Here is a 24,398-nt window from a genome sequence, read left to right on the forward strand (position 1 = left end):
CTTTGAAGGCTGAATCTACGTGAGAATAAGGAACTGAAGGTGAGTCATTTGGGGCATGTTTGGAAAATGGTTGTGTTCACTCCTTTAAAAGGTCCCTGACACTCCCCATTGATTGAATCCCAAGAACGTTAGTCCCTCTCTCTTCTGGACAGGAGACTTATTTCCAATACCAGGAGGTAAAAGAATAGGTTTCCATTTTCTTTTTATCATCCATAAGAAATGCTCCCTTCTTGGGACCTCAGAAGAACAACTCCATGAAGATAATTCCCGAGGGCATGGGACCAGAGCTGGAATTTACCCACCAGCTGCCTCCCAGTCTAGGAGAAGAGCTTCCTTGTCTGTGGGTTTCCACCTTGAGCGCTGAGGTTTGGTCCACCAATCCTGGCTATGAGCAGAGTCCCACTGCCCCGGGACACTGAGCCAAAGCTGAAGAAGGAAGTCAGCTCATGAACGGCTGAGTTGATCCTGGCCATAGTCAATGAAGAGGGCCCCAACCCTCAGGGAAGTCTCTGGCAAAGCCACAAGTCAGCCTTTTTTGGAATCTCAGGGTTCCTGAATCCTGCTGAGGGTCCTGTCAGGAGTAAGAACAGCTGAAAGGAAGTATGTGAATCTCCTATCTATGTGGAGAGGAAAATAAACCTCTATTCCCATCACATTTGGGCAAACTGGCACTGCCTCTTAAGTCAGTAAAGTATTTGTGGACCTGGTCAGGTTTCTGTCATCAACACAACATCCCCCATTCATGACTTTCTGGAGTAGAACTGCTCACATTATATTTCTTGGACCCCCAGAGTTCCAGAGGTCAGCAGGAGGACTGGCCAAGTAAGAGGGAATTAATGCAAAGTTGTCCCAGGTAGCCTTCCCCCAGCCACTATTGAGATTTCAAGTCCTGCTCTCAGGAAGCAAAGGTTCATGAAAGCAGTCAGGCCTTTTATGGCTGAGACAAGGGGGCAGAAGTAGCTGCTATTTCCTGTGCTCCTCTTTGACTCTTATCTTACTTCTCCCTGGTACTGAAGTGACCAAAGACCCCAGCCTCTTTCAGTGCTTTCAAATCCAGCCTTACAGATGCTCTAATTTACTCATACTGCGAACTTGCTTAAAGATAATTTATACAAAGACTTATTATTCTAAGAATGTCTGTGTATTTCTGAGGTTTTTTATAATAAACATATTTTAAGGTAGGTTTTGAATTTCCCTGTAATTGTTTTTTCTGTTTAATATGAAAAAGGGTTCCACTTACATTAGGGTTTTTGTATGGATATTCTGTTGTTCCACTGACACTTATTTCAAGAAGACTGTCTCCTGTTCTAAAGCTGCAAGTTTTAAAAATCAGTTAAGCACATGTTTATACATGTTTTGTTGGTTTTGTTTTTCAGAACTCTCCATTCAGTTCCTTTGGTCTATCTGTCAATCTCTGCACCCAAATCTCAAACTCTTCATTATAGTAGCTTTGTAATTCTTACTGTCTGGTAGACTAATGACTCTTTTTCAAGTGTATATTGACTATGCTTGTCCATTTGCATGTCTTTATATTTTAGAATCAGGTGATTCACACATGCCTTCATGTCCAAAGCCCTTTGGCAGTTTTGATTTAGGATTGCAGTCGATCTGTAGATTCCTTTTTGGGAAGAATCAACATATTTAAAATATTGAATCTTCATGCCCATGAATTTATTTTATTTTATGTTCAGGTAGGTCTTTGTTAATATGCCTCAACAGCATTTTAATATTTTTGTCTGTAAAAATTTTTTGGTTAAGCTTTTTTAACCAAAAAATATTTTAACCAGCCATCAGCTGCCTCCCAGTCTTATTTGGTTAAAATGTTTTTGGTTAAATTATTTTCCTAAGATACTTGATATTTTGGTACTATAGGTTAAAATTATATAGTCTTTACTTTCATTTTCATACTCTTTCCCTGACAAAAAACGAAGTTGATATTCTTTTGAATATTGACCTTATACTAGCAAACTGATATACTATTATATATTGAATAAATTATCTTTAGTTGTTTTGGATTCTTTTCATGCACAGTCTAATCATGCATGAATCACAAACGCTTTGTTTCCAACTGGCCAATCCTCATTCCTTCATTTACTGCTCTTTGGATTACTACACTGGCTACTACCTCTAGTATAAAAAGTAATAGAAGTACTTGTAGCAGAAACTCTAGGTTAGGTCTCAAGTTCAAACTAGAGGCTTCCAACATTTCCTTAAAAGATGTATCTGTTGTAGGTTTTTCATGCATATCCTTTTATCTAGTTTGGTAACATTTTTCATATTTGATAAACTTTATGTTTAAATAATTTTAGATTTACAAGAAAATTATAACAATAGTAAGAAAGTTCTCATATGTTCCACACTCAATGCCTCCTGTTATTAACACCTTACCTTGGTAAGGTTTCCTAAAACTAATGAGCCAGTATTTGTACATTGTTTTTAACAAACATTCTTTATTTATTATTGAACATACTTCAGTCACATTTTCTTACTTTTCACGAAATTCTATTTTCTATGCCAGGATCCCCTAAGGATACTCCATTACATTTAGTTATCATGTTCCTTCGATGCCCTTTGGCTGTACCGGTTGATTGAGACATTTCTCGATTTTGAAAACATTGACAGTTTTGACAGTTTCGTATGGTTAGGTATTTTGTAAAATTGACTTTGACTGGGATTTATGTGATTTTTTTCTGTCATGATTTGATGTAGGTAATGTTTCCTGGAAGGATGAACAGAGAGGTGAAGTGCCGTTCTTATCATACCGACAGCACATAGTACCAACAAAATTTGTCACTGATGATGTTAACTTGATTACCATGGCATCATCGTGCTTTTTAGCTTTATTCAGGGTAAAATTACATTATTTTTTGCCGTATGTTATACTGTCATCATGAGAAGAACAGGGAGACCCAGGACCAGCCAGTAGTCACATGAAGCCTCTGAGAGATAACTGCAAGACTCCCTGCCCACAAAGAGAAGGATCCACAGAATCCAGCTCCACTGCTGCTGTCAGCCCTGGGAGGCCCTGGGGCATGGTGGCCCACTGTGGTGTCCCCCTGACATTTTAGAGGGTAGAAAGAGGAGAAGGCTCTGCCTAGGTGAGTCTCACTTCAGATCATGAGAGGTGAAGGGACTCAGGCCCTTCCAGGCATCCCCAGGATGACACAGAGGAAGGACTGGTGAGACACCCCTCCCAAGAAACAGAAGGACACACAAATCCAGGCCCTGTTTTCACCCCTGGGAGGCCTTGGGCAGGGCCCTCAGTCAGAGATGCTAGCGCTTTTCACTTCGTCTTGGGGGGCGTCTCATGGAAATGGGGACCTTGATCTGAAGAACATAGTCTCTGGACAGCAGGGGAAGGGCTCCCAGGCCATGTCAGGAATAATAACTGCAGGAAAACAGAGAGTCCTGCCCACCCCATTTTAGAAAAAGGACACCAGAGTCCTGCCTTGGGCCTGGGAGGCCCCACCCCACTGTGGGTGGATGTGATTCTCCCTCTCTTGCACCTTGCAGGTCTCAGGGATGGGAGGGGCTTATTCGGAGGTGAAAGACTCAGTTGCACAGAGGCAGGAAGGCCAGGCGGTTTCCAGGAGTCCAGGCACAGCCTCTCGGGAAGGCAGGAAGGGAACACCCATGACTGGTAGTGCCCCTCCCCTGTCCCTGTGCCTGCTGCCAGCTCTGGAGGACCCTATCAGGGTCCCCAGGTTTACAACTTTCTGACTTGCATTTTGGGAGTCAGCCGGAGGGGAAGTTTTCTCTGAGGAGGGCAGTTTCAGTTAAGCAGAGGGAGGAACCCCAGGACTGGCCACTCAACGAGAAGAGAACTCTGTGGAAGGACAGTGACCTTCCAACATGGAGGAGAGGCACAGGCTACACCCTTTCCCTTCCTGCCGTCAGCCCTGGAAAAAGGTTGTGGGGGGAGAAAGCGGGGAGGTGGGCAGGGAAATATGGACGAGGGCTTTGAAGTGAGGAGGAAAAGGTGGAGGGATACCGAGAGGTGGGCAGGAAGGGGTGGAAAGGGTCGGGGAGGTAGGCAGGAAGGGGTGGAGGGGGCCCAGGAGATGGGCAGGAAGGGGTGGAGAAGGGCCGGGAGGTGGTCAGGAAAGTGTGGGAAAGAGGTAGAGAGGTGAGGGGTGGTTCCTCCATAGAGAGGAGACCTAGCCCCACTGGGAGTCTGAAGTATTTGAGGCATTTTGTGAGAAGGCTTAATTGAGATCAGCAGACAGAAGACTCTTAGAACTGGCCGATCCTCAAGGTAAGGGCCCTAAGGGAGAACTGAGGGACCTCCCACCACAGAAAGAAGAAGCTCTTGCCTGCCCTCTACCTGCTGTGAGATTGTAGGTCGCAGACAGGAAGAGGGTAACCGAGGGCTGAGGGACACGTCTTCATGACAGAAGAAGGGAGGAGGTGCCAGCTCTCTAGGGAATAAATAGGAAGACTTTGAGAAGGACAAGGGGAAACGCCACCTCAGAGGACAGACTCCCAGAGATTCCCAGCATGCTCCTCCATATCAGCCCTCGTAGAGCTCCCCAGTCAGCTCAGGCTGAGCGGCAGCCCTCTCATTGCTGGGTGAGAGGTGCAGGGAAAGGGAAGGCCTTGGTCTGAGGGTCCCGTGGCAAATCAGCACAGGGAGCTGCCTCCAGTTGGCAGAGGGAAGATTCCCAGGCCCTGCTGGGGATAAGAGTGAGGACTGAGGAGTCACATGTGCATCAGAACAGATGTGAGGCCAGCCCAACTGCCCCCGTGGTAGAGTGCTGGGAGGTGGCTGCCACCTCACTACCTCCCACTGCTCTCAGGGATGTGGAGTTTGCCCTGAGTTTTGGCTAGAAGAGTGGTAGGGACATGGCCCTGTCTGAGAAAAGGTGAGGATGCTAATTAAATTCTGATGGGACCATGCAGTCCAGAACTGTGGGGCTCTGGGAGTCTGGTCAGCCCCAGCTGTCAGCCTTGGGAGGCCCAAGACTCTGCTTGCAGTCTTTAGCCTGAGGGGCTCCCTCACTTCCTCTTGCAGGTGCTCCAGGAACCAGGAGTTGAAGACCTGGGTCTGAGGCACACTTCCTAAAGTCAGCACAGCAGAGGAGGCCCAGGCAATATCAGGAGTCAAGGTGAGTGCACGCCCTGACTGTGTACCAAGGGCCCTACCCCCACAAACAGAGCAGACCTGGCAGCACCTGGCCATAGCCACCTACTGCCATTCCTGGTGCCTCAGGCTCTGCCTGCCAGCTGTGCCCCGAGGTGCTTTCTCACATCCTCCTACAGGTTCCCAGGGGACAAACCCCCTAGGATGGCAGGTGACCCGTGAGGCCCTAGAGCACCACCTTAAGAGAAGAAGAGCTGTAAGCCGGCCTTTGTCAGAACCACCATGGGTGAGTTTCTCAGCTGAGGCCACTTGCAGTGTCCCTCTCTCCCTCAGGCCTGTTGGATGCCATCATCCACATCCCTGCTCACACATTTACCTCCTGCTCCTAAGGAAGACGTTATGCCTGTGTTTTGAAATGTTCCTAGCGGCAACTTTGAGAAAGACTTCCAGAACCAAACTGTGATAGAGAACTTGGCAGATGCACAGGATTCCACAGAGGAGGAAGAGGAGAAAACCTCCTCCATTTCCTCTTCCTCTTTCTACTTATTATTCCCCTCCTCTTCCTTCTCTTCTTCCTCCTTCTCCTCCTCTTTCTCCTCTTCCTCCTCCTCCTCCTCCTCATCCTCTACTCTGATTCTTGGTGCTCATGAGGAGGAGGAGGAGTAGCTGTCTGCTGGGATGCTGCCTCTTCCCCAGAATCCTCCTGAGAGTCCTCCCCAGGGTCCTCTCCAGGGTTCCCTGTCCTGCTCCTCCTCCACTTTATGAAGCCCATTCAATGAAGAGCCTAGCAGCCAATAAGATGAAGATACAAGTACCTGGCACAGCTTGCCAGAGAGCGAGCCCTTGTTCACTTATACACTGGATGAAAAGGTGGACAAGTTGGTGCAGTTTCTTCTCCTCAAATATCAAGCAAAAGAGCCTCTCACAAGAGCAGAGATGCAGATGAATGTCATCAACACATACACGGGCTACTTTCCTATGATCTTCAGGAAAGCCCGTGAGTTCATAGAGATTCTTTTTGGCATTTCCCTGACAGAAGTGGACCCCGACCATTTCTATGTCTTTGTAAACACATTAGACCTCACCTGTGAGGGGAGTCTGAGTGATGAGCAGGGCATGCCCCAGAACCGCCTCCTGATTCTTATTCTGAGTGTGATCTTCATAAAGGGCAACTGTGCATCTGAGGAGGTCATCTGGGAAGTGCTGAATGCAATAGGGGTGTGTGCTCAGAGGGAGCATTTCGTCTATCGGGAGCCCAGGGAGCTTGTCACTAAAGTTTGAGTGCAGGGACATTACCTGGAGTAGCGACATGTGCCCAGTAGTGCTCCTCCACGTTATGAATTCCTGTGGGGTCCTAGAGCCCATTCAGAAACTAGCAAGAGGAAAGTAGTGAGATTTTGGTCATGTGAAACAATACCGTCTCTAGTTCCTTTCCAATCTCTTCCAAGGATGCTTTGAAAGATGTGGAAGACAGAGCCCAGGCCATAATTGACACCAAAAATGATGCTACTGCCATGGCCAGTGCAAGGTTCCGTGTCATCTCCAGAAACTTCTCCTGTCCTGAGTGAAGTATAGGGCCGTTTCTTACGTCTGTGTTTGAAGAGGGCAGTCAGGGTCCTAGGTAGTGGAGGGCCCGGGTGGGGCTTGAGGGAACAATACAGTGTTCTTTGCATTTCTGTTCCATATGGGAGAGATAGATTTACCTCGTTTCCTTTTGTGTACTTTTTGAATGATTTTCCTTTTAATAGTAGGTTGAATTAGCTTCAGAATATTATTTTATAAATATTAGTCACACATATATTGCTGTTTATCTAGTTTAAGAGTAACAGTTTGATATTTTGTAAAAAAAAATGGAAAAAGCTTGTCTCTTATTTTGTGATCTATAACAGGATAACATGGTATTGTACTAGGAATTTTCTTTAAATTATGTAAGAACTCAGCAGTTAAATAGTGGAACGAAATAAAGGATGGTGAATAGTTACATTTCCTTATCCCGTTTATACTGTTGTTCTTGAAAATTAAAGAAATAGACCTGGCTTTGCTTAGCTCATTCAAGAAAGTAGCAGAAATTAAATGTTAATAAATAAAAGCATCTCTGACGGCTTTATTTGCCTAACATTCTGTGAGCATTTGCTTGCGGAGGGGACTCTTAATAGTGGGGATACAGTGAAAAGCAAGAGTTATGCCTTACCTATAAAACAATAGAGTCTAGGAGCAGAAGCCATGTCAAGAAGGTGGTAAGATGCTCTCTACAATCATAAGTTTCAAAAAAGTGGGGAGGTGAGACTCCAGATGGAGTCTTCAAGTATAAAGTCCCTGAGCTAAGGTAGTGTGGGGCTTCGGGAAACTGCAGGTGCTTCTGTGGGAGCTGATTGTTATGAAGCTGGGTGGTGGCAGGGGCCAGACTCTCAGAAGGTGAGAGAAAAGCCTGCAATGGAAAACTGCTCTGAGCAGTTCCTTCTGGGTGGATGATGAGGGAGAGAGGAGTCTCCATGTGGGGAAGTAATGGAAGCTGTCTTGCAGCTCTCTAACTGGTGAGCTTGAACACAGTGCAAGGACTAGGTGATTGATACCCATCATTTGCAAGTGTTTCCTGAGAAATAAGGCGATAATTCCTTGAAATGCTGCCCAGAAGCTTCTAGGCTGGCACTCATTTTCCTAGCCTGGGAGAGCCAGAGTCCATTCCATTGAAAGGTCATTTAATTAGGTTATTTTAAATGTAATGTGGGCAACTGTAAGCAAGGGCTAGATTTTTAGTGGAGGATAAATAGAAATAGTTGTTTGGATGGATGAGCAAAGGGGAAGGTGAAAAGGAGTTGGTCCTTGATTCAAATTCAGCACTTTGATGTAAATTTTCAGTTTGGATAGTGACAATTCCATATCTATCCTGGGCATCTTCAAACACTCTCAAAATACTCCCACATAGGGTGGTGAGTAGAATCTGATTTGCCACATAATATACTGGTTCTAGGGATGTAATCTTAGGGTAAGAGATAGAGTTTTTGAGATCATCCTAATATTTGATATTTGTATTGGGATTTTAATATATGATATTTGTAGTAACATTGTTTGAAGCAGGCCACTGAAGAGATACACAGATGAATGAGCTATACCAGGTGGTCAAAAAGCAAAGCTTCCTTCATAAACTTGGTATATGAGATAAAATTTTGGAAATCACTTTGTAAATAAATTACAAGGAGCTGAATTTCTAAAAACAGAACAATAACAAAATCCTTAATACTGCTTAGAAGGTGACAAGTGTTCCTTGACAGACAGGCTAGCTCTGATGAGAAAAGAAAATTATGGTTAACCATCCTTCCATTGTCTCTTTTCTGTGTACCTGCCCCACAGGAAAATCTTGGTTTGCAGTGTGCCACAGGCACATGTACAGCTGTTCAGGAATGTTCAGTCATGTAGAGGGTATTAGAATCTCTCATGGTAGGATATTTACCGTATACCAAAAGCAGTGAGAGAATTCTCAGTCTAAAGAGATTGTATTGTGTGATGGTTAATACTGAGTGTCAACTTGATTGGATTGAAGGATGCAAGTATTGTTCCTGGGTTTGTCTGTGAGGGTGTTGCCAAAGGAGGTTAACATTTGAGTCAGTGGGCTGGGAAAGGCAGGTCCACCCTTAATCTGCATGGGCACAATCTAATCAGCTGCCAGTAGGACCAGAATAAAAAGCAGGCAGAAGAATGTAAAAAGGCTAGACTGGCTTAGCCTCCCAGCCTACACTTTTTTTTCCTGTGCTGGATGCTTCCTGCCCTCTAACATCAGACTCCAAGTTCTTCAGCATTGGGACTCGGACTGGCTTCCTTGCTCCTCAGCTTGCAGATGGCCTATTGTGGGACCTCACGATCATGGGAGTTAATAAACTCCATAATACACTCCCCTTTATATATACCTCTATCCTATTAGTTCTGTCCCTCTAGAGAACCCTGAGTAATACAGATTTTTGTACCAGGAGTGGTTCTAGAGAAACAGAATATTAAGGATGGAGGTCTTTCATTGGTTTTGGGGTTTCTGGAGTTGGATGCTTAATGTGATTAGACCCAAAAATGCTAAGGACTCTAATTCTAATGGCGTGGAGAACACCGATAGCCTTTGGCGTGAACTGTTTAGAGAATTATGCAAAATAAATGCATTTGACACTCCTGATTAACTGCTTGTGAGAAAAAAGTTTAGTGACCCTATATTTAATACCTTTGACCATATGTGGAGAATCAAGGAACATAATGAAGTTGGTTGGTTGCTCCTAAATGCACTGGACAAAGGGATGAAAGAAAATGATGAACTCAGGGATTCTGACTCCTGGCTCCAGAAGCAGATACTGAGCCTCAAATCTGCTAGGATTGCCCTGAGTGAGAGTCTTATCTCCTGTAGAGAAAGACCTGAAATTTCCACCTTTGTCTGAGGAGATAAACCCTGTGCTGCCTGAGTCAACAGTGATGGCCTCCTCTGAGGCAGTTGCCAGGCAAGATAGTGTTGCTTCTTCTCAGGACCCACCCCCAAAATCCCTGTTGTTTTCTAGACCTATAACTAGACTAAAGTCCTGGCGGGCGCCTAGAGGTGAAGTTCAGAGTATGACCCCGTGAGGAGGTGCATTACACTCGAAAAGAACTGCTTGAGTTTTTTAATTTATATAAGCAGAAATCTGGAGAACAGGCATGGGAATGGATATTAAGGGTGTGGGATAATGGTGGAAGGAACACAGAGTTTAATCAGACTGAATTTATTGATTTGGGTCCACTAAGTAGGGATTCTGCATTTAATGTTGCAGCTTGGGGAGTTAAAAAAGGTTCTAAGGCCGGGCGCAGTGGCTCATGCATGTAATCCCAGCACTTTGGGAGGCTGAGGCGGGTGGATCATGAGGTCAGGAGTTCAAGACTAGCCTGGCCAAGATAGTGAAACCCCGTCTCTACTAAAAATACAAAAATTAGCTGGGCATCGTGGTGCGCGCCTGTAATCCCAGCTACTCAAGAGGCTGAGGCAGAGAATTGCTTGAACCCGGGAGGCAGAGGTTGCAGTGAGCCAAGATCGTGCCACTGCACTCCAGCCTGGGTGACAGAGTGAGACTTCGTCTCAAAAAAAAAAAAAAAAAAAAAAAAAGTTCTAATAGTGTACTTGCTTGGCTAGCTGAAATATGGATTAAAAGATGGCCCACTGTGAGTAATCTGGAAATGCCTGATTTCTTGCCTTGGTTTAATGTAGAGGAAGGGATCCAAATGCTTAGGGAAATTGGGAGGCTGGAGTGGATTAGTCATTTTAGACCTACTCATCCCAGCTGAGAGGGTCCAGAAGATACACCCTTGACCAATCCTTTGTGAAACAGATTTGTGAGGGCAGCACCTGCATCTTTGAAGAGATCTGCAGGGATTGGTCTTCTCTGTATGCCAGATCTAACAGTGGGAATTGTAGTCACTCAACTAAAAAATTTAAATGCAATGGGAATAATTGTATCCCGAGGTGCAGGGGTCAAGTGGCAGCACTCGACCATCAAAGGCAAGGCGGGTATAGCTACCATAATGGACAGCAGAGGCAAAGCAGCAATCAGAATAGTTTGACTCCTGTAGAGCTCTGGCATTGGCTGATTAATCACAGTATTTCTAGAAGTGAAATTGATAGGAAGCCTACTGCATTCCTACTTAATTTATACAAGCAGAAAACTTCCATGTTAAGTGGACAAAAAACTGATTCAAATTATAAAAACAGAGAATAACGGCCCCTCAATTTCCAGACTTGAGCCAGTTTGCAGACCCAGAACCCCCTGAATGAAGGGGAGGCTGGGTCCCCTTGAGGAAGGACTCCACTACACTATCAACAATTTATGCTGTTAATCTTTCTCCCATCCTTCCCCAAGGACACCTCTGGCCTTCTACTAGGGTAACTGTGCACTGGGGAAAGGGAAATAATTGGACATTTCGGGACTACTGGACACTGGCTCTGAGCTGACATTGATTCCAGGGGACCCAAAATGACATTTTGGTCCTCCAGTTAAAGTAGGGGCTTTTGGAGGTGAGATAGTTAATAAATATTTAGCTCAGCTTGGACTTACAGATGATCCAGTGGGTCCCCGGACTCATCCTGTGGCCATTTTCCCAGTGCCAGAATGTATAATTGGCATAGACATACTTAGCAGCTTGCAGAACCCCCACATTGGCTCCCTGACTGGGAGGGTGAGGGCTATTATGAAGGGAAAGGCTATTATGAAGGGCTATTATGAAGGGAAGGGAAAGGCCAAGTGGAAGATATTAGAGCTGCCTCTACCTAGAAAAATAATAAATCAAAAACAATATCGCATCCCTGGAGGGATTGTGGAGATGAGTGCCACCATCGAGGAACTGAAATACGCAGGGGTGGTGATTCCCACCACATCCCCCTTCAACTCTCCCATTTGGCCTGTGCAGAAGACAGTTGGATCTTGGAGAATGACAGTGGATTATCGTAAGCTTACCCAAGTGGTGACTCCAATTGCAGCTGCTGTACCAGATGTGGTTTCATTGTTTGAGCAAATTAACACATCTCCTGATACCTGGGATGCAGCCATTGATTTGGCAAATGCCTTTTTCTCCATTCCTGTCCATAAGTCCCACCAGAAGCAAATTGCCTTCAGCTGGCAAGGCCAGCAATATACCTTTACCGTCATACCTCAGGGGTACATCCACTCTCCTGCTTTGTGTCATAATCTTATTAGGAGAGACCTTGATCGATTTTCCCTTACACAAGATCACTGGTCGACTACATTGATGACATTATGCCGATTGGATCCAGTGAGCGAGAAGTGGCAAACACACTGGACTTATTGGTGAGACATTTGCATTCCAGAGGATGGGAAATAATCTGACTAAAATTCAGGGACCTTCTACCTCAGTCAAATTTCTAGGGGTGTAGTGGTGTGGGGGCAGTTGAGATATTCCTTATAAGGTGAAGGATAAGTTGCTGCATGAGGCCCCTCCAAGAAAGAGGCACAATGCCTAGAGGGCCTATTTGGATTATGAAAGCAACACATTCCTCATTTGGGTGTGTTACTCTGGTTCACTTATCGAGTGACCCAAAAGGCTGCCAGTTTTGAGTGAGGTTCAGAAGAGGAGAAGGCTCTGCAACAGGTCCAGGCTGCTGTGCAAGCTGCCCTGCCACTTGGGCCATATGATCCAGCAGATCCAATGCTGCTTGAGGTATCAGTGGCGGATAGGGATGCTGTTTAAACCTTTTGGCAGGCCCCCATTGGTGAATCACAGCAGGGGGCTCTAGGATTTTGGAGCAAGGCCCTTCAATCTTCTGCAGATAACAACTCTCCTTTTGAGAGACAGCTCTTGGCCTGTTACTGGGCTTTCATGGAAACTGAATATTTGACTGTAGGTCATCAAATCACCATGCAACCTGAACTGCCTATCATGAACTGGGTGCTTTCTGTCCCATCTAGCCATAAAATGGGTCATGCACAGCAGCATTCCATCATCAAATGGAAATAGTGTATATGTGATTGGGCTTGAGCAGGTCCTGAAGACACAAGTAAGTTACATGAGGAAGTGGCACAAATGCCCAGGGTCTCCACCCCTGCCACCCTGCCTTCTCTCCCCCAGCCTGCACTGATGGCCCCGTGGACAGTTCCCTATGATCAGTTGATGGAGGAAGAGAAAGCTAGGGCACGATATGCAGGCACCATCCAAAAGTGGACAGCTGCAGCACTACAGCCCCTTTCTAGGACATCCCTGAAGGACAGTGGTGAAGGGACTTCTAAGTGGGCAGAACTTCGAGCAGTGCACCTGGTTTTGCACTTTGCATGGAAGGAGAAGTGGCCAGATGTGCGATGATATACTTATGCATGGGCTGTAGCCAATGGTTTGGCTGGAAGGTCAGGGACTTGGAAGAAGCATGATTGGAAAATTGGTGACAAAGAAATTTGGTGAAAAGGTATGCAGATGGACCTTTCTGAGTGGTCAAAAACTGTGAAGATATTTGTATGCCATGTGAGTGCTCACCAATGGGTGACCTCAGCAGAGGAGCATGTTAATAATCAAGTGGATAGTATGAGCCGTTCTGTGGACACCACTCAGCCTCTTTCCCCAGCCATCCCTGTCATCTTCCAATAGGCCCATGAACAAAGTGGCCATAGTGGCATGGATGGAGGTTATGCATGGGCTCTGCAACATGGACTTGCACTCACCAACACTGACCTAGCCATGACCACTACTGAGTGCCCAACTTGCCAGCAGCAGAGACCAACACTGAGCCCTCGATATGGTACCTTTCCTCAGGATGATCAGCCAGCTACCTTGTAGCAAGTTGATTATATTGGACCTCTTCCATCATGGAAAGGGCAGCAGTTTGTCTTCACTGGAACAGACACTTATTCCAGATATGGGTTCGCCTGTCCTGCACACAGTGCTTCTGCCAAGATTACCATCTGTGGACTCACAGAATGCCTTATTCACCGTCATGGTATTCCACACAGTATTGCCTCTGGCCAAGGCACTCACTTTATGGCTAAAGAAGTGTGACAGTGGGCTCATGCTCATGGAATTCGCTGATCTTACCATGTTCCCCATCGTCCTGAAGCAGTTGCATTGATAGAACAGTGGAATGGCCTTTTGAAGTCACAGTTACAATGCCAACTAGGTGACAATACTTTGCAGGGCTGGGACAAAGTTCTCCAGAAGGCCCTGTATGCTCTGAATCAGTGTTCAATATATGGTATTGTTTCTCCCATAGTCAGGATTCGTGAGTCCAGGAATCAAGGGGTGGAAACACCACTCACCATCACCCCTAGGGACCCACTAGCAACACTTTTGCTTCCTATTCCCATGACATTACATTCTGGTGGCCTAGAGGTCTTATTTCCAGAGGGAGAAACGCTGCCGCCAGGAGACACAACAATGATTCCATTAAACTGGAAAATAAGGTTGTCACCTGGACACTCTGGGCTCGTCCTACTTTTAAGCAAACAGGCTAAGAAAGGAGTTACAGTGTTTGCTGGGGTGATTGACCCGGGCTATCAAGATGAAATCAATCCACTACTCTGCAAGGGAGGTGAGAAAGAGTATGCAAGGAATACAGGAGATCCATTAGGGCATCTCTTAGTATTACCATGCCCTGTGATTAAGGTCAATGGGAAACTACAACAGCCCAATCCAGGTAGGACTACCAATGGCCCAGAACCTTCAGGAATGAAGGTTTGGTTCACTCCACCAGGAAAAAAATCCACAGCCTGCCAAGGGGTTTGCTGAAAGCAAATGGAATACAGAATGGGTAGTAGAAGAAGGTAGTCATCAATACCAGCTACGACCACATGACCAGTTGCAGAAACGAGGACTGTAATTGTCATGAGTATTTTCTCCTTCTTTTCTTTAGTTAAAAACATGTTTGTGCGTGTACACACTTGTACTAAGAAAATATCTTTATTTTATTTCTTATTTTCCTTTATCATGTGACATAAGATGTGTTGACTTCATATCAGCATTTAAGTGTGTTAACTTTATGTAATAGCATTTGGATTGGGGATCGGTGCATTTCTGGTTGTATGAAGGAGAGTTGTATTAACTCCCTTAATAAACTCCCCTTAATATGTACATCTGTCCTATTAGTTCTGTCCCTCTAGAGAACCCTGACTAATACATATTGGTTATTTTTATTTTTATTTTTTGAGACAGAGTCTCGCTCTGTCACCCAGGCTGGAGTGTAGTGGTGTGAACTCGGCTCACTGCGAACTCTGCCTCCCGAGTTCAAGTGATTTTCCTGCATCAGCCTCCCAAGTAGCTGGGACTACAGGTGCGTGCCACCAAGCCCAGCTAATTTTTGTATTTTTTAGAAGAAACAGGGGTTTCACCATGTTGTCCAGGCTGGTCTCAAACTCCTGACCTCAAGTGATCTGCCCGCCGCAGTCTCCCAAACTGCTGGAATTACAGGCATGAGCCCCACCACACCTGGCCTATATTGATTGTTAAAAGGACAGTGCAGAAAAGTGCTGTTGAGAAATAAGGTTGCCCGTCCCTGCCAAGACATCTAAAATTGTTTTAAACCTAGATGCAATTCTGTATTTGAAACCTCCAGTCACCTAGTAGGTGCAAGAAAAAGTTGAAATATTTCAAGGTAATGTTGGCATTCCCAGAAACAATTCCAAAAATGAGGAGACTTACTATCATAAATTATAACAGTTGCTTTTAATTGAGCAACAGCTTATGGGAGAGAACACAAGCGCCCATCTCCATCTTGTATACCCTGTCTTTATGGTTGGTTCATTTGTAGTTAGATAGAAGCCAGTATATCATTCCAATGTTTTCATTTCTGTTCAGCAGTTAACATCTGTTGTGATGTGGAACTGCAAGGTGAAAGCAGCTTGGATTCCTGGGTGACGTGAGAGCCATGATCCGCTATGGATTAGTTTATTATTCCATAACTAAATACTACAGACTGTGTGATTAAACAATAGAAATGTATTTATTCACATTTCTGGAGGCTAAAAAATCCAAGATCAAGATGTTGACTGGTTTGAATTCTTCTGTGGGCTCTCTTTGGCTTGCAGATGGCCACCTTCTCGCTGAATTTTTACATGATTGTCCCTCTTTCCGTGTGTCTGTATCCTAATCTCCTCTTCTTGTGAAGACGCCAGTCATATTGAATAAGATCCTAACCATAAAACCTCATTTCCCCTTAATTACCTCTTCAAAGGCTCTATGTCCAAATGCAGTGACTTTGTATGTGTGCATTTTGAGGAAGGGGTATAATTCGGCCCATAACACCCTGCCAACTAAAATCAGAATTTCTATGCACAAAAATAAACTTGTTGTGTTAAATCATTTAAATTTCAGGAAATGTTTTCATTCCATTAGCTCACTGTTACTTTATCTGACTATTACACTGCTCCTCTTCCTTTTATTAGGCTTACTTTAATGCTTTTCTTACAAATAAATACTGCATATATTATTGTTGCAAAAAAAATGATAAAAATACATGGAAATCACAATTCTCTCCTCTGCAAAGTTCCTCCAAAATTCAGCCCCCTACTCAGAACTTTCCACAATGTGGTGTGTAAATTTTAAAAGCTAATTTCAAGTTTTTAAAAGATAGATGTGGTAATGTGTGTGTGTATATATATATGCATATATAAATATATATATTTATATATGCATATATAAATATATATATTTATATATGCATATATTTATATATGTGTGTATAAATATAACAAAACATGAGTAATGACATACATGTAAATATGCCACTTGCCTTTGCCACTCTGATAGGTTCAATTGCATTCCCCTAAAGTTCTATCTTGAAATTAAAAACGTGACATTATTTGGAGATAGGATTATTTCAGAGGCAATCAAGTTAAAATGAGGTTATTAATGCTGGCCCTAATCAAATATGATGGGAGTCATTTTAAAAAGGGGAAATTTGGACATAGAGATATGAGTAGAAGGATGATAATGTCAGCATACTTGGACTGAAGACAGCCATCTACAAGGCAAGGAGAGAGGCCTGGAATATAACTTTTCATCACAGCCCTCAGAAGGAGTCAACCTTGTATACACCTTGCTTTTTGACTACCAGACTCCAAAACTGTGAGACAATATATTTCCGTTGTTTATGTCATCCAGGCTGTGGTACATTGCTATGGCACCCCTAACATGCCAATATAATCATTTATTGAAATGGATCCAAGATCGTTCCATGACAGCACAAATGTTAATAAATCTATCTTACTTTTGCAACTACTTCCTAGAATTCCAGTTTATTTCTGTGCAATAATGAATTGAACAAATCTTCTGACAGACAAATATATGTTTATCTTTTGTGGCTATAATTCATGTAAATAAAATCAACATCTCTGAGCATAAATTCTGGGACAAGTACATATAATTACTTATAAGGAATGCATTTTAATGAGGAAACTGAGTCAGTATGAATATTTTCTATTTTTTAAATGTTACTGACTTTTTTCCTAAAATATTTCACCAATTAATTCTCTCACATTAACAGAGGAAATTATTATTATTTAATAATAATGATTATTATTATTCCCCATAATTGTCTATGGGGAAATGATTCATTTATTCACAAACACATTTTATCAGAGTTTTAAATGTTTGTCAAACTTATGGGGGCAAACCCTAGGTGACTTTGGGTTTGGTGATGACTTTTTTAGATGTAACACCAAAATTTGGTTAAACTTATGGGTGCAAACCCTAGGTAACCTTGGTTTTGATGACGGCTTTTTCAGATGCAACACTAAAAGTACCAGCTACCTAAGAAAAAAGAGATAAATTGGACTTAATTAAAACTAAAAACTTTTGCTCTGAAAAGTCACTGTTAAGATCTTGAAAAGACAAGCCAGCGACTGGCATAAAAGTTTTGTGAAACACATATCTGATAAAAGATGTATATTTAAATATGCACAAAACGCTGAAAACCCAATCATAAGAAAACAGAAAACCCAATTTAAAGTGGACAAAAACTATAAATAAGTACACAAACAATGAATATATAGGAATTTAAAATGAGCATATTAAAGAGTTCAATGTCATATGGCATTTTAGAGAAGTGCAAATTAAAGCACCTAGGAGATAGCGCTCTACACCCAGGAGAATGGCTGACGTCCAAAACACTGAAACATCAAATGTTGACCTGTATGTTGAGCAACAGGAGCTTTCAGTCATTGTTAGTAGGACAGACCTGGAGGAATCATAAAAGCATAAGGCTAAGTGAAAGAAGAAAATCTTAAAAGGCTACATAATGTATGATTCCAATCATACAATATTTAGAAACAGTTCATTATGAATACACTAAAAATATCAGTGGTTTCCGGAGGCTGAGGAGTTAGGGTTGGGGCAAGGGGGATTGATAGGTGGAGCACACAAGAGATTTAAAATGGTGTAACAAGTCTGTGTGATACTGTAATGATGAATACTCACCATTACACACTTATCAAAACCTACAGCATCCCCAACGTTGAGTGATTCCTGATGTAAACTGTGGACTTGACCTAATAATGAGGTATCAATACAGGTCCATCAGTTGTTGCAAACATGCCATAATAATACAAAATATAAATAATAGGAGACACTGTGTGTGTGTGTGTGTGTGTGTGTGTGTGTGTCTGTGTGCGTGCATAGGGCAGGGCAGGAGGGCAGGAATTGGGGGGGGGGGCGTAGATATGTGAGAACTCTGTAACTTTGATGAAGTTTTCTCTCTGTATTTTTGGATTAGCAATGCTCTAAAAATGATGTCTATTAGTTTTTAAAAAGACACAAATGATTTGAAGAGAATATACCAATCAGGAAAAGGCATATAAAAAGATGACCAACGTCATTTGTCATTAGGAAGATGCAAACAAAAAACAAAGGAGATTCAAATACAGGCTTATTAGAATGGCTGAAATCTGAAAATCTAAAATACTAAATGGAAGAGGGGATATGCAACAAGAGGAATTCTCATTCCTTGCTAGTTGAGATGAAAAATGATGCAGCCAGACTTTTAAATCCATGTTTTGTGGACCTACTCATATGACAAATTGTGAAAGTTAAAACTATATGAACTGCAAACAGAGCATAGTTGCTAGAGTCTTTGGAGAAGTGCCTTGACTGACCTCAAAAGAGATGCACAGGGGACTTTTCGGGTGATGGAACTGGTCAGTGTGACACTTGGTTCGTAGATATGGAACTCCACGCATTTGCTAAAATACATATAATTTCACATAATAGTTAAATCTGATGAGTGTATTTTAAAAATTAATAAAAATTATAATAAAAATTAATGACATTAAATTAATAAAATGTTAAAAATAATTTTTTTAAAAGATCACGCACAGGCTGCTGAAAAGACAATGGATTTTTCTGGGACAAGGATAGGGAAAGAAGAAAACTAAGGGAGCCTTTGACATAGGTCAGGAGAGAGATTCTATTAACTTCACACACGGTAGTACTTAAAGTAGAAGGTTTTGGAATGGATTTTAGAGGATGACAGAACAACTGTTGCTGTCGGGACAGGAGAAGGGGGGAGTGCCGGCCCTGGAAGGAGTAAAACCTTGAGGAAGACTGAGGGGCCTTCCCACCTCATTTCAGACACGGGGCAGCTTCAGTTAAGCAGAGAAAGGAGCCCCGGGGCTGGCCAACAAGCAAGAAGGGAACTCTGTGGAAGGATAGCTATCTCCCAACACGGAGGGAAGGCCCAGGCGTCGCCCAGCCACTCCTTGCTGTCACCCCTGGACAAAACAGATGGAGAGGTGAAAACGGAGAGGTGGGCAGGGAGAGGTGGGCGAAGGGCAGGGAAGTGGACAGGAACAGGTGGGAGTGGGGAGGTAGGCAAGAAGGGGTGGGAGGGGGCAGGTTGGTAGGCCCGAAGGGGTGGGAGGAAGTTGGGAGGTGGGTAGGAAAAGGTGGGAGGGAGTGGGAAAGTGGGCAGGAAGGAGTGGGAGTGGTGGGAATATGGGCAATAAAAGGTGAAAGGGGGCAGTAGGTGAACAGGAAAGGGTGGGAAGGGGCGGGGAGGTGGGCATTAAGGAGAGGAAGGGGTCAGGGAGGAGGGTGGGAGGGGGTAGGGAGGTGGGCACAAAGGGGTCGGGGGGCGCTGAGGAGGGCAGGAAGAAGTGGAGTGCGGGGAAGTGGTCAGGAAAAGGTGGAAGGAGGCGGAGAGGTGGGGGGTGGTTTTTCCATGGAGAGGAGGCCCCACCCCACGCTGCCTCTGCTGTCAGCCCTGGTCAGCCTTGGCAGGGTTCGCGGATGTGCTTTCCCGACTTGCACTGTGGGAGTCTGAAGGACCTGAAGCATTTTGCGAGGAGTCTGGACTCAGGTCAGCAGAGGGAAGCGTCTTAGACCTGGCCAATCCTCAAGGTAAGGGCCCTAAGGGAGAACTGAGGGACTTCGCACCAAGGACAGAAGAAGCCCCGGTCTGCCCTGCGCTGCCATAGGACTTGCAGGCCACAGACAGGAAGATGGCCGCCGAGGGCTGACCGAGGCGTCCCCACAACAGAAGAAGGGAGGAGGTGCCAGCCCTCTAGGGAATAAATAGGAAGACATTGAGGAGGACTGGGGGAACCCCCACCTCAGAGGACAGCTTCCCAGAGATTCCCACCCTGCTCCTCATATCAGCCCTCGTAGAGCTCCTCAGTCAGCTCAGGCTGAGCGGCAGTCCTCTCATTGCTGGGGGAGGGGTGGAGGGGAGGGGGAGGGGTGGAGGGGAAGGGGAGGCCTTGGTCTGGGGGGTTCCATGACAAGTCAGCAGGGAGAGTTGCCTCCAGTTGGCAGAGGGAAGATTCCCAGGCCCTGCTGGTGATAAGAGTGAGGACGGAGAGGTCCCACGTGCATCAGAACAGACGTGAGGCCACCCCGACTGCCCCCGTGGTAGAGTGCTGGGAGGTGGCTGCCACCTCGCTACCTCCCGCTGCTCTCAGGGATGTGGAGTTTGCCCTGAGTTTTGGCCAGAAGAGTGGTAGGGACATGGCCCTGTCTGAGAAAAGGTGAGGATGCTAATTAAATTCTGATGGGACCATGCAGTCCAGAACTGTGGGGCTCTGGGAGTCTGGTCAGCCCCAGCTGTCAGCCTTGGGAGGCCCAAGACTCTGCTTGCAGTCTTTAGCCTGAGGGGCTCCCTCACTTCCTCTTGCAGGTGCTCCAGGAACCAGGAGTTGAAGACCTGGGTCTGAGGCACACTTCCTAAAGTCAGCACAGCAGAGGAGGCCCAGGCAATATCAGGAGTCAAGGTGAGTGCACGCCCTGACTGTGTACCAAGGGCCCTACCCCCACAAACAGAGCAGACCTGGCAGCACCTGGCCATAGCCACCTACTGCCATTCCTGGTGCCTCAGGCTCTGCCTGCCAGCTGTGCCCCGAGGTGCTTTCTCACATCCTCCTACAGGTTCTGAGGGAGCAAACCTCTTAGGAAGACAGGCGACCTGTGAGGCCCTAGAGCACCACCTTAAGAGAAGAAGAGCTGTAAGCCAGCCTTTGTCAGAACCATCATAGGTGAGTTTCTCAGCTGAAGCTACTCACACTGTCACTGTCTTCCTCAGGCCTGTGGGATCCCATCATCCCCATCCCTGCTCACACGTTTACCTGCTGCTCCTGAACAACAGGCCTCATGCCTCTCTTTCCAAACCTTCCACGCCTCAGCTTTGAGGAAGACTTCCAGAACCCGAGTGTGACAGAGGACTTGGTAGATGCACAGGATTCCATAGATGAGGAGGAGGAGGATGCCTCCTCCACTTCCTCTTCCTCTTTCCACTTTTTATTCCCCTCCTCCTCTTCCTTGTCCTCATCCTCACCCTTGTCCTCACCCTTACCCTCTACTCTCATTCTGGGTGTTCCAGAAGATGAGGATATGCCTGCTGCTGGGATGCCACCTCTTCCCCAGAGTCCTCCTGAGATTCCTCCCCAGGGTCCTCCCAAGATCTCTCCCCAGGGTCCTCCGCAGAGTCCTCCCCAGAGTCCTCTAGACTCCTGCTCATCCCCTCTTTTGTGGACCCGATTGGATGAGGAGTCCAGCAGTGAAGAGGAGGATACAGCTACTTGGCATGCCTTGCCAGAAAGTGAATCCTTGCCCAGGTATGCCCTGGATGAAAAGGTGGCTGAGTTGGTGCAGTTTCTTCTCCTCAAATATCAAACAAAAGAGCCTGTCACAAAGGCAGAGATGCTGACGACTGTCATCAAGAAGTATAAGGACTATTTTCCCATGATCTTCGGGAAAGCCCATGAGTTCATAGAGCTAATTTTTGGCATTGCCCTGACTGATATGGACCCCGACAACCACTCCTATTTCTTTGAAGACACATTAGACCTCACCTATGAGGGAAGCCTGATTGATGACCAGGGCATGCCCAAGAACTGTCTCCTGATTCTTATTCTCAGTATGATCTTCATAAAGGGCAGCTGTGTCCCCGAGGAGGTCATCTGGGAAGTGTTGAGTGCAATAGGGGTGTGTGCTGGGAGGGAGCACTTTATATATGGGGATCCCAGAAAGCTGCTCACTATACATTGGGTGCAGAGAAAGTACCTGGAGTACCGGGAGGTGCCCAACAGTGCTCCTCCACGTTATGAATTTTTGTGGGGTCCAAGAGCCCATTCAGAGGCCAGCAAGAGAAGTCTTAGAGTTTTTATCCAAGCTATCCAGTATCATCCCTAGTGCCTTTCCATCCTGGTACATGGATGCTTTGAAAGATATGGAAGACAGAGCCCAGGCCATAATTGACACCACAGATGATGCTACTGCCATGGCCAGTGCAAGCCCCAGTGTCATGTCCACCAACTTCTGTCCTGAGTGATGTCTGAAGCAGATTCCCCCTCTGTGTTTGAAGAGGGCAGACAAGGTTCTAGGCAGTGGAGGTCCAGAGTGGAGCCGGAGGGACCACAGTGGTTTTTGTTTCTGTTTCATATGAGTGACTTAAGAGTTTAACATTTTTTTGTGGGGGGTATATTTTACAAATGCTTCTCCTTCCAATTGCTTTAATTCACTTCAGAATCTTAGTTTATGAATATTATTCACACTTGTATTGCCGTTTGTCTGATTTAAGAGAAAGAGTTTGATATTTCATAAAAAAAGGGAAAATCTGTCTTATTTTATGAACTGAAACAGTATAATATGGTGTTCAGATAAGAATTTTCTTTAAAATTTGAAATAACTCTGCAATTAAATGGTGGAACAGAATAAAGTATGTGATATTTGCATATCCTTATCATGTTACTCTGTTGTTCTTCCAAATTAAGGATATATACCTGGCTTTGCGTGGCTTATTCGAGAAAGTAGCAGAAATTAAATCTTAATAAATAAAAGCTTCAGTGACTATTTGCTAAACATTATTTGAGCAGTTGCTTGTGGAGCGTGCTCTTAGTAGTGGGGATACTATGAAAACCAAGACTTATCTCTACCCATAAAATGTTAGAGTCTAAGTTCAGAAGCTGTATCAGGAACATGGTAAGATACTCTCTACAATCATAAAAACAAGTTTAAAAAGGAGTGGGCAGGTGAAACTCCAGATGGAGCTTTCAAGTAAAAAGGCCCAGAGCTAAGGCAGTTTTGCCCTTCGGGAAACTTCAGGTGCTTCTGTGGGAGCTCATGGTTATGAAGCTGGTTGGTGGCAGGGCCCAGACCCTCAGAAGGTGATAGAAAAACCTGGAATGGAAAACTGCTCTGAGCAGTTCCTTCTGGTGTAGGATGAGGAAGAGAGGAGTCTCCACATGGGGAATTAATAGAAGGTGTCTTGCAGCTGTCTAACTGGTGAGCTTGAATACAGTGCAAGAACTAGGTGATTGATACCCAACATCTGCAAGGCTTTCCTGAGACATAGGGCGATAATCCCTTGAAGTGTTGCTCAGAAGCCTCTAGGCTGGCACTTATTTGACTGGCCTGGGAGAACCAGAGCCTACTCCATTGAAAGACATTTAATTAGGTTATTTCAATTGTAATGTGGGCAACTGTAAGCAAGGGCTAGATTTTTACTGGAGGACAAATGAAAATAGTGGTTTGGAAGGATGAGCAAAAGGCAAGGTGTAAAGGAGTTGGTGTTTGACTCAAATTCTAGCATCTTTGAGTTGCATTCTAGCTGAAGATGCCTTGCCTTTTCCAAATTATACAATATACCGTTTCAGAAAAAAATGTACTGGGTTTTATTTATGAAGCCAAAGTTTTGGTTAAGCTGGTATTCCATGACGCATTCACCTACATATTCTCTGAGATGTTATGGATAACAAAACTAAGAGCTGAATATTTCACAAAAGACGGTAACCTTTGGTGTGGTAATCATTGATAACAACTGCCATTTATTAAAATTCCAACATATGCCAGGCACTCTGGCAGGTGTTTTACTCACATTACATACACTCCAGCAATTCTATAAGACAGGGCTTATCAAACTCATTTTGCAGGTGAAGAACCCAAGGCTCATAATGCTTGATAAATTCCCAAGACCACATAGCTAGAATGTGACAAGGTTTTGACTTGAGCCCTGGTCTGAATTCATTTAGGCCCACACTGTCCCCACTCCTCCCAGCCTGAGGAAGGCCTTTGCCTGTTAAGTCACTTCTTTTCACACTTGTTAATGTCTCTGAGGTGAAATAAAGATGAACTGTGTGGCTAAGGTATTAAGTTAGGCCACAAGATGGAAGGTCAAATGGGAATAAAATACACTTCGGGGAACATTATTGGCTTTCTTTACCTAAAGTCCTCTTGTTCTGAGCCCTAGGTTTCTTGAGAGCTGAATGTCCAGGTGCTGACAGATTTGTCCATGCCCAACAATTTTTCCCATTGCAGCTCCCCCCAGCTCCTTTTGATCTCCCCTGTGTGGTCTCTTGTGCAACTCTGGAACCTGGCCTGCTGACTAACTTCTCAT

At 44.7% G+C, this 24,398-nt stretch overlaps 1 protein-coding gene across 3 annotated transcripts in view; it reads left to right on the forward strand.

Moving 5' to 3' along the window:
* Positions 1-22,334, forward strand: part of MAGEC3 (MAGE family member C3) — a 59,517-nt gene extending 37,183 nt beyond the window's left edge. The window contains exons 3-8 of one of the 3 annotated variants that reach the window (NM_138702.1): positions 3,677-3,933; positions 5,905-6,298; positions 19,771-19,909; positions 19,987-20,061; positions 21,384-21,988; positions 22,131-22,334. In NM_138702.1, the coding sequence (NP_619647.1) occupies positions 3,677-3,933; positions 5,905-6,298; positions 19,771-19,909; positions 19,987-20,061; positions 21,384-21,988; positions 22,131-22,334 (1,674 nt within the window). Of the gene's footprint in view, positions 1-3,676; positions 3,934-5,904; positions 6,299-19,167; positions 19,317-19,770; positions 19,910-19,986; positions 20,062-20,684; positions 20,779-20,932; positions 21,010-21,086 lie in introns of those variants that run through there. The other 2 variants (NM_177456.2, XM_011531267.4) reach the window with 2 other exon arrangements.

Source organism: Homo sapiens, chromosome X (genome assembly GCF_000001405.40).
Source record: "Homo sapiens chromosome X, GRCh38.p14 Primary Assembly".
Lineage (NCBI taxonomy): Eukaryota > Metazoa > Chordata > Mammalia > Primates > Hominidae > Homo > Homo sapiens.